At 38.9% G+C, this 15,464-nt stretch overlaps 1 long non-coding RNA gene and 1 pseudogene across 1 annotated transcript; one reads left to right on the top strand and one right to left on the bottom strand.

Annotated features, from left to right (window-relative positions):
- RNA5SP458 (RNA, 5S ribosomal pseudogene 458) lies at positions 971-1,089 on the bottom strand (annotated as a pseudogene).
- On the top strand, positions 10,657-13,186 carry LOC124904301 (uncharacterized). The gene is made up of 2 exons (XR_007066367.1): positions 10,657-12,419; positions 12,915-13,186. It is a non-coding gene; the product is annotated as an uncharacterized LOC124904301 (long non-coding RNA).
- Positions 13,187-15,464: the final 2,278 nt, after the last annotated feature.

Here is a 15,464-nt window from a genome sequence, read left to right as displayed (position 1 = left end):
TAATACTCTTCATCTTAAAGACTACTTTACATAATAGTAATACAACTAAACAGCTCAGTTGTCTTATGTTTTCATAATATAGTTTTTTTTGTGCACTTACTTTTAACTCATCTCTTTATATTTAAGGTGTAGTTTTTGTAAACAGCATATAGTTGAGCCTTGCTATACTTGGAGAGTTTCTTCATTATCATTTAATTTAACTATTGATATGGTTAGATTTAAGTCTACAATTTTACTTTTTGTTTGGTGCTTTTCCCATCAGTTTCTTCTATCTGTTTACTTTCATTCGCTCTCTCTAGTGCCTCAAAGTAACTGTTTTAAATATTTCTTCCAGAAATTACAGTTGTTATGTGAAAGAAAATTTGTTCAGTAGGAGTTACTTGGATATTATCAGAAACTGGAAGCCTCTGATACATACATTTTAAAGATACTGGAGTTTTTTTTTTACATTTACCAATTTTTATTATAAAGGATATTATAAAAGATACACACTAAGAGATACATAGAACAAGCTATGTGCGAGAAGAAGTGTGGAGTTTCCATGCTCTCCCCGGTGTGTCACCCTCTGGAGCCTCCACTTATTCAGCCATCCAGATGCTCTCCAAACCCAGTCCTTTTGGGTTTTTATGGAGGCTTTGTTACACAGGTATGATTGATTAGATCCTTGGCCATTGATGATCAATTTAACTTTCATCCTCTCTCCTGTCCTCAGAGGTTGTGAAGTGAGGCACAAAGTCCCAACCCTCTAATCATTAAAATATGCTATTTTTAAATTTTGCTATAATGTCATCAATCCAGTAATCTCTTTTTTGAATGAAAAATGAAAAATGTATTGTTTTTCTCCTCTTGGTCCACGTAATAGTCCCGATTATTTAATATAATAAATGTATTTAATTTCTCTTTTGCTTTATCAGAAAAACTTGCCCTAACAGATTCTTTGATGCAATTTGACTTTGATTTTGCCTGCTTAAATTTTTTAGTACAGATTTTAACTGGCATTTTCCCATCCAAGTTCTAACCAGGCCCAATCCTGCTTACGTTCTGAGATTGGATGAGACTGGGCACACTCAGGTTGGTATGCCATAGAAAACCTGGCGTTTTCTATTTCAGACTTCTGCATCTGCTGCTACTGTGCCTTCTCAGCATACCACATCACCGGTGTTTGTCCATCTTGCACTACTTCCAACTGGCATATGATTTGACCTATTATCTCCTTTATATCTTTAGCCTTTTTTTTCTGAATAAATGTGATAAAGGTATGTGACCTTCAGGAAGGCCTCCAATGCAGATTTTTTTTATAGTATCAGCAAGATCTTATCAAAGTTGTCACACTATAATCCCTCTCTCTGCTTTGCCAACTTCATACCTATTTTTTTCTTTCAAGTGATGATATTCTTTGAATAACTAGTTATTTCTTTCTTCCAGCATGTGTTTGTTTTTCACTCTCAGCTTGATTTGTTGTGCATACTTACACAATTTATCTTTTATATTAGTCATTGTGTTTTTCTATTTCATAATCTTTTTGTGCATATTACCCCATTGTTTGAAAACAATATATTTTTACTTTGTAGTTTCAGTGATCATTTCTTTAAGGTTTTTTATCGTATAATATATTCATTTTGTGCGTTCATGTTGTCACATGTATTCACTTTCCTTCTTTTTACATTCTGTGATAGGAGGTCTAACCAATATCTTTTGGTTCAGAGGGTAACTTTAGTGCGATAAAGCTCATTGTGTAGGTTACTACTTTAACATTTAGTTTTCAACATTATTGAGAAGGCACATCATGGTTATATTTTAGTTCAGACGAATGAAAATATTGGAACCTGATGATTCAATGTCTTACTCTGTTTATGTTGCTATCAAGGAATACCTGAGGTTCAGTAATTTACATAGGAAGGAGGTTTATTTGGCTCACAGTTCTGCAGCCTGTACAAGAAGCATGGCACCAGCATCTGCTTCTGGCAAGGAATTCAGGCTGCTTCCACTCATGGTGGAAGAGGAAGGGGAGCTGGTGTGTGCAGATCACATGGTGGGAAAGGAATTGAGAGAGAGAGGAGGAGGTACCAGGCTCTTCTCTACAACCAGTTCTCATGTGAACTAAAAGTGAGAACTCACTCACTCCTGCAAGAAAGGCACCAAGACATTAAGGGATCTGTCCCCAGCATCCAAGTACCTTTCACCAGGCCCCATCTCCAACACTGGGGATAAAATTTCAACATGAGACTTGGCAGGGCCAAATAAATTATAACATATCCCAACCGGCTTGGTGGCGGGTGCCTGTAATCCCAACTACTCGGGAGACTGAGGCAGGAGAATCGCTTGAACCCGAGGGGCAGAGGTTGCAGTGAGCCGAGATCACACCACTGCACTCCAGCCTGGACAACAGAGCGAGACTCTGTCTCAAAAACAACAACAAAAGAACAAAAAACAAACAAACAAAAAAACATATCCAACCGTAATATTCAATTTCTCTTTGCTTTGTTTTTCATTTATTAATTTGAGTTCAATGCTGCTTTCTCAGGTATTACTGCATAAAGTAGTCCATTATACTGAATATTGTTTTGGCTAATATTTCTTTGCCCAGTTTTATTATCTTTTGAATATCAAAATTCTTTTATGTTAAAATGTTAATATCCTCAATATATTTTCTCTGATCTTGATTTATAATTTTCATAATTTTTTCACCTGGCCCTTCTGAGATCTTATGATCTTGATTCTTTTATTTTGTTCAGTTCCACTCTTAGCATGGCAATTTCATTCTGTAATATGTCCTTTTTGTACAATAGATATTTTTCCTTTTCCTTGCCTTCAGAAATCTCAGAATTCTTAACGTTTTAAGTGGATAATTTCTATTTCTTTCTGCTTGCAAAGTGATGGCTGAAAATTTCATTCTGGTAGTTTTAAAAAATGGCCTCAAACTCTTTGAATCCCTTCCCATCAAGAGGTTGGTCTGTTTCTCTTCACCTTGAATGTTCGTGAGTTTCTGACTGCTTTGACCACTGAGTATAGTAGAAGTGATGCTATGTGACTTCCAATGCTAGCTCATAAGAGGCTATACAGCTTTTGACTTGCTCACACATACACACAGTAGCCCTAAGCCGCCATATAAAACTATGACTACTCCAAAGTCACTATGCTGTGATGAAGTCCAATCTACATTGAGAGGCCATATGTAACTCTTGTCATTGACAGCACACACTTTACTGTGTCATTAAAGCACACACTTTACTGGTCATTATAGCACAGGGACCAGACATAAGTGGAGAAGCAACTAGGTGATTCAGGCCTAAGCCATAGGAGTCATGCCCAGCAATTTGTCTTCCCAGATGAAACTTCAGATTTCCAGTGATTTTAGCACTGTTGTCAAAAATCAATTGACCGTAGATGTATGGGTTTATTTCTGGACTCTCAATTTATTCCATTAATCTATATGTCCAGCCTGATGCCATTACCACACTGTTTTGATACATACAGCTTTTTTTTTTTTTTTTTTTTTGAGACAGAGTCTCATTCTGTTGCCCCGGCTGGAGTGGAGTGGTGCGATCTTGGCTCACTACAGTATCCACCTCCCAGGTTCAAGTGATTCTCCTGCCTCAGCCTCCTGAGTAGCTGGGATTACAGGCACCCGCCATCACACTCAGTAGTTTTTTCTATTTTTAGTAGAGATGGGGTTTCACCATGTTGGCCAGGCTGGTCTTGAACTCCTGACCTCAGGTGATCTGCCCACCTCGTCCTCCCAAAGTGCTGGGATTACAGGCATGAGCCACCACACCCGGCCTGCTAGTACTCTTTTTCTGAGTACTCTTTTCCTCTGCCTTCATGAAAATATCTTTCACATCACTAAAAACAAGGCTGTACTCAGGTTTGTATATAAAAGTATTTTCAAATTAATTAATTAATTGAAACATTTATCAAGTGTTGCATCAATTTACTTAATCTTGAGGGTAATTAATTGCTTGAAAGGAATTATGATGTCTAATGTTTGCATAAAGTCTCTCATTATAGGATCTATTCTTGTTATATAATCAGACCCAGCTAAAGAGAAAGAAGGCAATTATCTCAGAAACTCTGCAGGAAACTTATTAAATGGGCTCATACCAATGAGGCAGGGAACTTAACTTCTGTCTTTTGACAATTTCAATGTACCACACAATTTTAATATTGAGACTACAACAGTGAAACGAATAAACTTGTGAAGAAATAAAGCCACCTGTGGGAACAGATATTTCACAAGGTGCAGCAAAAACTGCCTTAAATGAACAAGCAAATGTTGTTGGTACATGTTCTTCTAGAATAATGACATATACCTAAGTGTGAAAAGGCAATGCTGCAGCAAAAATTTGTGTTTCTCTAGTGTTCCTTCCATTCAGGTAATATAGGGGGAGGAGAGAAGGCTTGCTATGATTAGTTGACTCTATTCTTGCCTAACTGCTTAACACAGTATCTCCGTGTGGTGTCCTTGCTTGAGTACACATGTGTGGTTTCCTCCTGCCAATTTCTGAAAGCATTTGTAAGGTTTCAGTAACCTAGCCCTTAATGTACGAAAAATAATGACCAATTACTTACTGAGCTCCACTGAATAAGTCTACTTATTGCAGACTAAGTGTCTACATTCCTTGTCTCTAATTCTGTCATCAATCTTATAAGACAGAGATTCACCCCATATTACAGATGGGGAAACTGAGGTTCAGAAATGTTGCATTATCAGACCAAGGTTCCACATCTGACAAATGGTAAAGTCAGAATTTGAATGGAGGAGTCAGTTTCCCTGGCTCCAGTGCTTGTGTTTCATCTGTGACGTCATGATGCTGCCGCCCAGCTGCACTCCCAGACATCCCCTCGTTTCACAGACTTTTAATGACTCTCAAATAGTCACTCTTAATTTGAATCTTTTCTGTTCATTCTAGATCTTTAATAATTCTGACTTTGAAAAAAGATTAGGTAAATACACAGCTGCACCACACTTGTCCACCATCTGGAAAAAAAATGCCATGCTCTGAGAAATTTTAACGTAAGATTCTTAACACAGAAACACAATTTAATTGACATAATGAACTTCAAGAATAAAAAGATATTTGTGCAAGCTTTAAAGCAAGAAAGAAAAAATATCATGCACAATAGAAAAATCAGGCTAGTCAAAAATTTCTTCACAGCAATATTTCTGCTCAATATTTTACTTGAAAGACTTCAAACTTGCAGAAAAATGGAATACTGCTACTACATAGAACACCAAGATTTACCAACTAATATTTTCCTCATTTGTTTATCTCTATCTATGTATGGATTAATCACTTTTTTATTTTTGTATTCTCATTTTCTTTGAAAATTTTGTTCTCAACCATTTGAAGTTAGGATGCAAATATCACAACACTTCACATTTTTGTTGAAATGTTTCTACTTATGGGAAGATGAAATGTCCAACCCAAACAATGAATGAAAGATATCTTAAATTCTGACTACCTATAATGTGAGCTGGATGCCAGAGAGGCTCAGAGGTAATTGGAAATTAGAGCATTGGCCTCTTATTTAAACAATATAGGTGAATCAATGTAGGAGCTTTATGGTAGGAAATTTCTCCAATATTTAGTAATAAGAGATTTATAAGACTTGAAAGCATGAGTTAATCTATTTGAAGAAAAAGGAGTACATATCTCAGTCAGAATTCCAGCAAAATGTGCAGATAGTATTTAGGGAAAGCAATAAGCAATAGTAGGTTCCCTACAGTTTGCAACACCAGGGAACTATTACTACATCTAGCCTGGAAGGCAATGTTTATGGAAACCTATTGAGAACAGCTGTATGGGAGAGGGCCATCTGAGAGGAGCTGTGAAATTTGCTAGGGTACTTGGTAACCCATAGAGAATCGACAGGGAAAGATCTGGGACAGTAAGCACCCTCCCTCATTCACTTCCCAGGACAGCAACCACCCTCCCTCATTCACCTCCCAGTCTCTAGGTCTCCTGGTGATCCTCCCCAGTGATTAAACCAGCTGTAAGCCAAAAGTCAAAGGCTACTCATGAAACAGTCCACAAAGGTCAGCCCTCTGAGGCAGAGAGTACGGTGGCAAAAGGTAAACAGTGCATTTGTTGGACAAAAATGAAAGACAAAATTGTTAGACAAAATTATCTGCATATACTTTCTACCTACCATTCCCATTTTGGTAGAATAATTTTTACAACACAGACATAGTTACACACACACAAACAATTGTAACTGAGTACTATATATAGGTTACATAATTATATTTATAATATAAAGCTATTGTAATATAAAACAGTTGTAATACAAATCTGATTATAACATAAATAGACTTTGCTATTTTGAATAGTACTGCAATAAACATAGGAGTACAGGTGTCTTTTTGATAGAATGATTTCTTTTCCTTTGAGTAGATGCCCAGTAGTGGGACTGCTGGGTCAAATGGTAGTTCTATTTTTAGTTCTTGGTAAAATGTCCAATGTGTGGTAAGTAAATACACCAAGACACAAAGAATTGCAGCAGAGAAAGAGGTTTAATCACAAGGCAGCCAAACAAGGAGACTGGAGGAAACCTCAAATCCACCTCCTCAAGGAGTTTAGGATCTAGGGATTTTAAGGGGTTTGGATGGTTAGTGGGCCAAGGTATAAGGATCACTGATTGGTTGAAGAATGAAGGGTGACGTCATGGAACTAAAGAAATTGCATTCTTGCATTGAGTCAGTTCTCCTTTTGGTGTCTTCAGACTGGTGGGCATGAGCTGTCCTGCTAGAATTCAGGATCTGGGCCAGGCATGGTGGCTCATGCCACCATGACAGAGATTCATCCCAGCACTTTTGGAGGCCAAGGCAAGAGGATCTCTTGAAGCCAAGAGTTCAAGAGCAGCCTGGGCAACAGAACAAGATTCTGTTCCTACAAAAATAAAATAAAGTTAGTTGGGTGCGGTGGTAAGCACCTATAGTCCCAGCTACTTGGGAGGCTGAGGTGGAAAGATCACTTGAGCCCAGAAGTTTAGAGGCTGCAGTGAACTGTGATCATGCCACTGTACTCCAGCCTGAGTGACAGAGCAACATCTTGTCTCTAAAAATAATAATAATACAATTTTTAAAAAAGAATTCAGAATCTGAAAATCATCTTGAATGGAAAGTTTCAGACTTCTAATGCTAAAGATGCTATCTATAGGAACAATGAGGAAGTTCATGGTCTGTGTTCTGGCCTACGTGACTTTCGGTTAGTTAGCAATTACAGCGAAGTGGGCCAAAGTGTAGCCTGATTAATGCTTGACTGCCCTTCAGCCCAAAACCTGGCATGTTATTATGAGGATGGTTTCAAGAAGACAGAATGAGAGAGGAAAAACTAAAATGTAAGAATAAAATAAAGCAACTGAGAGAATACTAACGTGAGAATATTAAAAAGAATTTGGAAATGCCAATTTACAGAAATAACAGCCTTAAGAGTGGATACACATCAGTCATACCCTTATATGTTGGTAAAAATATGCATCAGTATATAATACAATGTGTAGAAAAGAACTAGCAAAGCAGACCTGAGACTGCTATTCTTAGAAAGGCCTGCTTGCAAAGTTGGCCCTTGGCTGACATCTGGGAACTTAACTGGTAAACAGGTACCTACACTGATATAAAACTTTCCCTTGGTCGGGCACAGTGGTTCATGCCTGTAATCCTATAACCTTGGGAGGCTGAGGCAGGAGGATTGCTTGACGTCAGAAGTTCAGAAGTTCTAGGCAATATAGCAACACTCCGTCTCTACAAAAATATTTTATAAATTGGTCAGGTGTGGTGGCACACATCTGTAGTCCTAGCTACTATGAGGCTGAGACAGGAGGATTGCTTGAGCCTGGGAGTTTAACGCTGCAGTGAGTTCTGATCAAACCCCTACACTCCAGCCTGGGTGACAGAGCAGGACCCTGCCTCTAAAAAAGTAAAATAAAATAAAACACTTTCCCTAAATGATAAGGGTGGCTCACTGTGCCTAGACTGTGTGGACAGTATGGTTTATGCTGAACAACTGCTTTCCATCTGGGTATCTGGAATCATGGTACATGGTAGGCAGGGAATGCCTATATGTCCAGCTCCCAGTAAAAGCCTTAGGGACAGTCTCTAATGACACCCCGATAACATATCACACATTGTCACACTCATTGCTAGAGGAAGTATGTCTTGTGCAACTCCACTGGGAGAGAACTCTTGGAAACTTGTGCCTGTGGTCCTTTGGACTTTGCCTCATGTGCCTTTTACCTTTGCTCATTTTGCCTTGTATCTTTTCATTGCAGCAAATCTTAGCCATGATTATGACTATGTGCTAAGTCATGTGTGCCCTTCTGGCAAATCATCAAAACTGGAGCTGGCCTTAGGAAGCCGCAACACATGCAGATATTGATTTTGTCTGTGCTCTAGAGTTCTGTGTTCAACCTCAAGTTAGCATGGAGGAACCAAAGTGCGATTTTGTAATTGAATTCTAGATATTAGCTTCAGTCTTACCCCTGGCAAGAAGTACCTTGAAAGTTTCTGTCCTAGAGGTCTTTGGTAGATCTGTGTTCTCCTCTCCTGCCGCTGTGGTCCCCACTTGAGCTGATTCTTAGTTCCTTGTTCTGCATTGCCTGTTCCCATGCCTGGAATTCTAAACCTTGGAGCTTAATTGCATTTTTAAATCTATGTCCTGATCCAGGTCCACTGTGATCCTCAGCTTTCAGAACCCTGGTCTTCACCATGCCCAGTCAATGCTATGGCTGCTCCGTTAGCTTTTTCATCTAGTTTCTCCCGTCCTGAGTTTCCCTGAGCCTATGCCCTAACTTCAGCCCAAGGCTAATTACAGCACTCAGAGTAGGAAGATTTATTATTAATATCGAATTTATTACTACTGGCTGTACAGCCTGGCAAAGGACTTAGGCTCCTGAGTCTAAACTGCTTAAACTGAACATGAATAATATAACCTTTCTTCTGTTTGCCTAATAAGGCACTTGTGAGGGTCAAATAAGATGTTTTTTTTGTTTGTTTTTGAGACAGTCTCACTCTGTCACCCAGGCTGGAGTGCAGTGGCACAATCTCGGCTCACTGCAACCTCCGCCTCCCAGGTTCAAGCAATTCTCTTGTCTCTGCCTCCCAAGTAGCTGGGATTACAGGCGTGCAACACCATGCCTGGCTAATTTTTGTATTTTTAGTAGAGACAGGGTTTCACCATATTGGCCAGGCTGGTCTCGAACTCCTGACCCACCTGCCTTGGCCTCCCAAAGTGCTAGGATTACAGGCATAAGCCACTGCACCCAGCCAGATTTTATATGTGTAAGTATTTATCAACTATGGAGCACTACACAGTTACACATTTCACATATTATGATTATTGCCATCATCTCCAAGCTATACCTACAGATAGAGTCACACAAATTTGACTTTTCTAAAAAGTCCTTACTAACCTTTCTCTAGGCCAACCACAAAAAAATCAAGCACTGGAATTGTCATACAAGACTTTAAAGCAGCCATGTAATCATCTTCCACAAGGTAAAGGTGAATGCCCTTGAAATGAATGGAAAATCAGAAATTCTCCACAGATGAAAAAGGCCCAAATAGAAACTTCAGAATTGAAAAATACAAAAACGTAATTAACATAAAACTGAGTGACATGGTTTGGGTTTGTTCCCACCCAAATCTCAACTAGAATTGTATCTCCCAGAATTCCTACGTGTTGTGGGAGGGACCCAATGGGAGGTAATTGAATCATGGGGGCGGTCTTTCCCATGCTATTCTCGTGATAGTGAATAAGTCTCAAGAGATCTCATGGGTTTATCAGGCGGTTCCGCTTTTGCTGCTTCTTCATTTTCTCCTGCTGCCGCCATGTAAGAAATGCCTTTTGCCTCCCACCATGATTCTGAGGCCCCCCAAGCTGTGTGGAAATGTAAGTCCAATTAAACCTCTTTTTCTTCCCAGTCTCGGGTATGTCTTTATCAGCAACGTGAATATGGACTAAAACACTGAGTCACCGTGTTAGCTCAATAGCGGAATGGAGATGACAGAGGAAGAAGTTGGGGAATTTAAAAATAGGTCAACACAAATTATACAATCTGAAAAATAGAGAAAAATAAGACTGAAAAGCAATGAAGCAGGCACAGTGGAATGCCTATAGTCCTAACTACTTGGAAGGTTGAGGTAGGAGGATCACTTGAACCTAGAAAAAGTCAACACCAGCCTGGGCAAGATCCTGTCTCTATCTCAGAGAGAGAGACAGAGAGAGAGAGAGAGAAAAGAAAAGCAGTGGACAGAGCTTTGAAAACTTTTTGAACAATATAAAAAATCCAAGTTAACCAGGCATGATGATAGCTCACACCTGTAATCCCAGCACTTTGCAATACCAAGGTAGGAAAATCACTTGAGCCCAGGAGTTCAAGACCAGCCTGGGCAACATAGTGAGATCCTGTCTTTACAAAAATTAAAAATTAAAAAAAATATAGCCAGACATGGCAGCATGCACCTGTAGTCTCAGCTACCCAGAAGACTGAGATAGGGGGACCACTTGAGCCCAGAAGGTCAAGGCTGAAATAAGCCTTGATGGCACCACTGTACTTCAGCCTGGGTAACAGAGAGAGAGAGAGAGACCCTGTAAATAAATAAATAAATAAATACATGAAAAAATTAACTTCTATATAATTGGAGTCTCAGAAGAAGAAAATGAGATTAGTGCGCACAAAAATATATTTGGAAAAATTGGCTAGAACATCTCAAATTTAGTGAAATACATAAATTTACATATTCAAGAAGCTCAATGAACCCCAAACGGGCTCAAAAATAGACTAAAAAAAGAAAACCATACCCAAACATGTTGTAATTAAACCACCGAAACCAAACGTAAAGGAAAATTACTGAAAGCAGCTGAAGGAAAACAACACATATAGGGGTACAATTATTGCAGGCCAAAAGAGTGAGGGTCGTGATCAACTCAGTATACCACTGGAGGCTATATGAGTAAACAGCAAACTGTTCTCATAAATGCAGAATGTTGGCAAACTGTCAAACTGCGTCTGCCACCCAGAAGGAATGCTGAGGGCAGTCACACCCCAAGCGCAGTGTTTCCTGTGATTAGGTACATCTGAAGCCTGTTAGTAATAATATGAACCTGTGATCAGTTAAGCAGCTGACCAATCGTTACCTCCTCTTCCTTGCTTTTTCTACCCAATAAATACGAAGGGCTGTAGAAGCTCAGGGGCTGCCTTTGCTCACTAGAAGCAGGGAGCTCTCTTCTTCTTCCTCTGGCCCCTTCCTTTAAAACAGTTTCTGTTGTCTTAAGTTTTCATTTCTATGTTCGTCCCTTCATTCACTCTTGTAATGATGGTCTCAAGTAGTGACAGTAGTAACTGCCCCACTGACGGTCTCAAGTAGTAACCGTGGCAGTCTGTCACATGCAATGATTGAAATGCAGACTTTTCCTTAGTAACCAGAGAGTGAAAAAAAAATTTTTTTCCAAGGGCTTAAAACTGACCAAAGGTACTGTTTTCTGTTTAAAGAAGAGATTAATGAAAATAAAAATAGCTGCTTCACAGTAGAAAATTTCTCATTTTTGTTCATGAAATCACCACTAATAGAAAAACGTACAGAGTGGAAGAAAGCAGAATTGGGCAGAGTGAGATGTTGAACTGCCATAGCCGTTCAACATGAGATGTTGAAATCCACCGCCCAGCACATGGAGCTCTGAAGCTGGGACAACCTGCAAGAATTGCCCAGGATTGAGGCAATCAGGAAAGGCTTTATACTCCATGTCACTGATGCGTCATTGGATGTGAACTGTCCAGGAAACGGGCGTGACCTTCAGTGTGTAACTCTCTTTGGCTTAGGCAACTCAGAAGAGGACTTACAATTGAAGGCTTTCTGCTAGCAACGCTTTCTGCTAGCAACACACCCTGCAACTGGAGGAACACATTCTTGAGTCTGGAAGTAGAACCGGGTGCCCCACAGCATCCGTTATTCCTACACATTACACTGGTAAATTATTTATCCTTCAGAAGGTGCTGTCTCGATTTGCACTCCTCTGTTATTAATGGCACTTTTTAAAAACTGAAATTGTTTTTTTTTACGTAATTTCTCCAACCACACGGTGAGTGTCTCATGAGAAAGAATGTTGTATTCACCACCACCTATTTCCTCAGTCTCCACTTTTCGGGCTGAACCCGAGAGCCAGCGTGCAGCGCAGCTGGGGGCGTGACCGACATGAGATGAAAACTGCGCAGACTCAGCAACTCAGCCCCAATAGGAGGGCACGAGCCCCAGCGTCCTCGGTTTCCATAGTGACAGAGCCTACTTCTGGTCTCTAACCGCCACGGTTTCCCTTCTTAGCTCCGGGCGCACCCAGGAAAGACAAAAATACGCATAAGGCCAGCCGTTTGACCCCTTGCTGCGGAAGATAAAGGGCTCCACTCTAAACGTGGTGATCCTGGTAAACGCAGGAGTTGGGGGAGCGTGCAAGACCCTGAGAATTTTCCTTCTTTACCCGCCCCCAGGCCTAGCCCACCCACCTAGACCGCGATCAGCCCTCCCTTTATAAGGGGAGTGTGCTCTGGTATAAGATTTGTTAGGTGATTAAATATAAAGAAAACCTGTTAACCACCTACCCTACCTTCAAGAAACATCCCCCACTAGCCAGCTTTAATACATAAATTATGTCTCTGGAAAATTGTCACTTGGGGTCTTGAAGGCCCATTAGTCTGCAAGTCACCCAGAAGGTCAGTCCCCTTGTGAAGGGGTGTGTATGTCCCAAGAGGGACACAGGGCTGGGAGGCAGAAGATCTGGGCTCTGAACTGGCCGTTACCCAGCTTTGTGATCCGAAACTCGCTCTGCTCCTCTGAAGAGTGGTTTGTGGAATGTGATGGAGCTGTGGGCTTCTCTCAAGCCTCTGTCTCTCAGCCTTCTAAGACTGCATTTCGTTATCAGTTCACCCCTGGGAGCTGCTTGGCAGAACTGGCCCTACACACCAGGAAACTGGAGGAAGGATGAAAGACTGGAAGGACTGTGGTTGTGGAGGAGACCAAAGGAATGCCGCCCGCGGTAGAATGTTGGCAGGTCTTGCATAGCGCTACAGACACAACATGTGGTGGCCTAAGCACCCTAATTTCTTTGTTTCTGCCTAGCCAGTATAACAGTCCAGAAAACCTCCTTTCCTTTAGGAAATACTCAGGGATATTAAAATCGAATTCAGAAAAGAATTGGCTCATGCATGAAACTATTATAGACTAACACAATATCTCTAGGTCCCAGAACATTAGAACCCGGAGCTAGTAAACAATCTGGTGTGTGCAGACTGCAGGCTTCAAGGCAGTGTTTATAGATAGACTTGACAAGCAACAAAAACAGATCTATTTTGATTGGATTCTGTATTCAAACTTAAAGATCCTCTTCCAACCCAGAGATTGGACTTCAGGGCTCCAGAAAATTCAGTTTAAAACTATGACTTAAACAATGCTATTAACTTGATCTATAGGTCGTTATGTATCATTGTATCATATATAATTATATATATATATATACACACACACACACTATATCTATTAGAATATCCCCACCCAACAAAGAACAGAATACACATTATTTTCAAGTACACATAGAGCATTGATAAAGATACATCGCATTTTAAGCCATAAAACACACCTTAACAAATTATTAAAAATTGAAACTATACAAAATGTTTTCTCTAAACATAAAATAGTTAAACTAAAAATTACAGATGTCTGAAAAACTACTTGATATTTGAGATTTAAACAGCATACTTCTAAATAACCCATGAATCCAAGCAGAAGTAGATGTCAATTGGTAAATATTTTGAACTAAATGGAAGTGAAGAGTTCAAAATTTGTGGGATGCAGCTAAAATGGTGCTTAGAAAGACATTGATTAGAAAAGGTCTCAAAATTAGTGATAAACCACCTTAATAAACTTGAAAGAGAAGAGCAAATAAAATACAAAACAAGCAGAAGAAAGGGAATAATAATAAAATTGAAAATAGAAATACAATAAAGAAAAATAAAAAACTCATTCTTTTAAAATATCAATCAATAAGCCTCTAGTCATACTGACAAAAAAGAGAAGACAAAAATTACCAATATCAGGGTCACTGAAGAACCTACAAGTACTACAAGGATATTGCAAGAATATTACAAATAATTATATGCCTATTAATTAGACAATGTAGATGAATTGGACACATTTTTTAAAAGGCACAAACTACCAAATTTTATTGAAGAAATAGCTAAACCTAAATAGTCCTATATATGTTAAGAAAATTAAATTTACATTTAAAATCCTTCTCCACTAAAAAACAATAAAGACTCCAGATCCAATTGGCTTCACTGGCAAATTCTATAAAACCTTTTAAAAATAAATAATACCAACTCTACATAAACTGTCTAAAAAATATAAAGGAAAATAACTCTGTCTGATGCAGTTTATGAAGGCAGTATTACTCTGATACCAAAACCAGGAAAAGAAATTACAAGTAAAGAAACTTAATATCTCTCATGAACATAGCTGCAAAAATCCTAAATGAAATATTACCATATCAAATCCAGCAGTATAACAAGAAAAGGTTTTAAGTAGCGATTAGTTGGGATTTAATCTGGGAATGCAAATCTAGTTCATTATTGAAAATGTATCTATGTAATTCACCATATCAGTAGATGAATGATCATCTCAGCAGATTCAAAAAGAGCATTTGAAAAACTTCAATATCTGATTGTAACAAAAAGGGGACATTGGTAAACTGAAAAAGGGCTGCTATAAAAAACCTATAGCTAACAGCATACTTGATGACTGAATTCTTTCTTATCAGGCCAGGAAACAGGTAGGAGTGTATACTCTCATCACCTATGTTAACCATTGTACTGGAAGTCTTAGCCAATGCCATAAGGCAAGAAAAAATAAAAGGCATAAAATTGACGAGGAAGAAATAAAACTATCTATCCTTAGATAACATGACTGTCTACATAGAAAATTGCAATAAAATTTTTAAAATCTAGAATAATTGAGTTTAACAAGGTTGTAGAATGCAAGGGCATGATACAAAAATCAGTTGAATTTCTATAAGCAATGAATATATGAAAATCAAGATTTTAAATAGAAATCTTTAACAAAATATGAAAATTTTAGACATATATATATATATACACACACACACCAATATATATGCTAGTTCTGTATGCTGAAAACAAAAAAGTGAAGAAAAATTAAAGCAAACCTAAATAAGTGGAGATATATAGCATGTTTATAGATTGAAAAACTCAGTTTGGCCAGCCACAGTGGCTCACGTCTGTAATCCTAGCACTTTGGGAAGCCAAGGTGGGTGTATTACCTGAAGTCAGGAGTTTGAGACCAGCCTGGCCAACATGGTGAAACCCCATCTCTACTAAAATACAAAAAGAGCACTTACAAAATTGAAAATAGAAATACAATAAAGAAAAAAACAAAAATACAAAAATTAGCTGGATGTGGT

Source organism: Homo sapiens, chromosome 18 (genome assembly GCF_000001405.40).
Source record: "Homo sapiens chromosome 18, GRCh38.p14 Primary Assembly".
In the NCBI taxonomy this organism is placed as follows: domain Eukaryota; kingdom Metazoa; phylum Chordata; class Mammalia; order Primates; family Hominidae; genus Homo; species Homo sapiens.
Note: the sequence above shows the minus strand (reverse complement) of the source record. Positions and strands in the feature narration are given on the sequence as shown.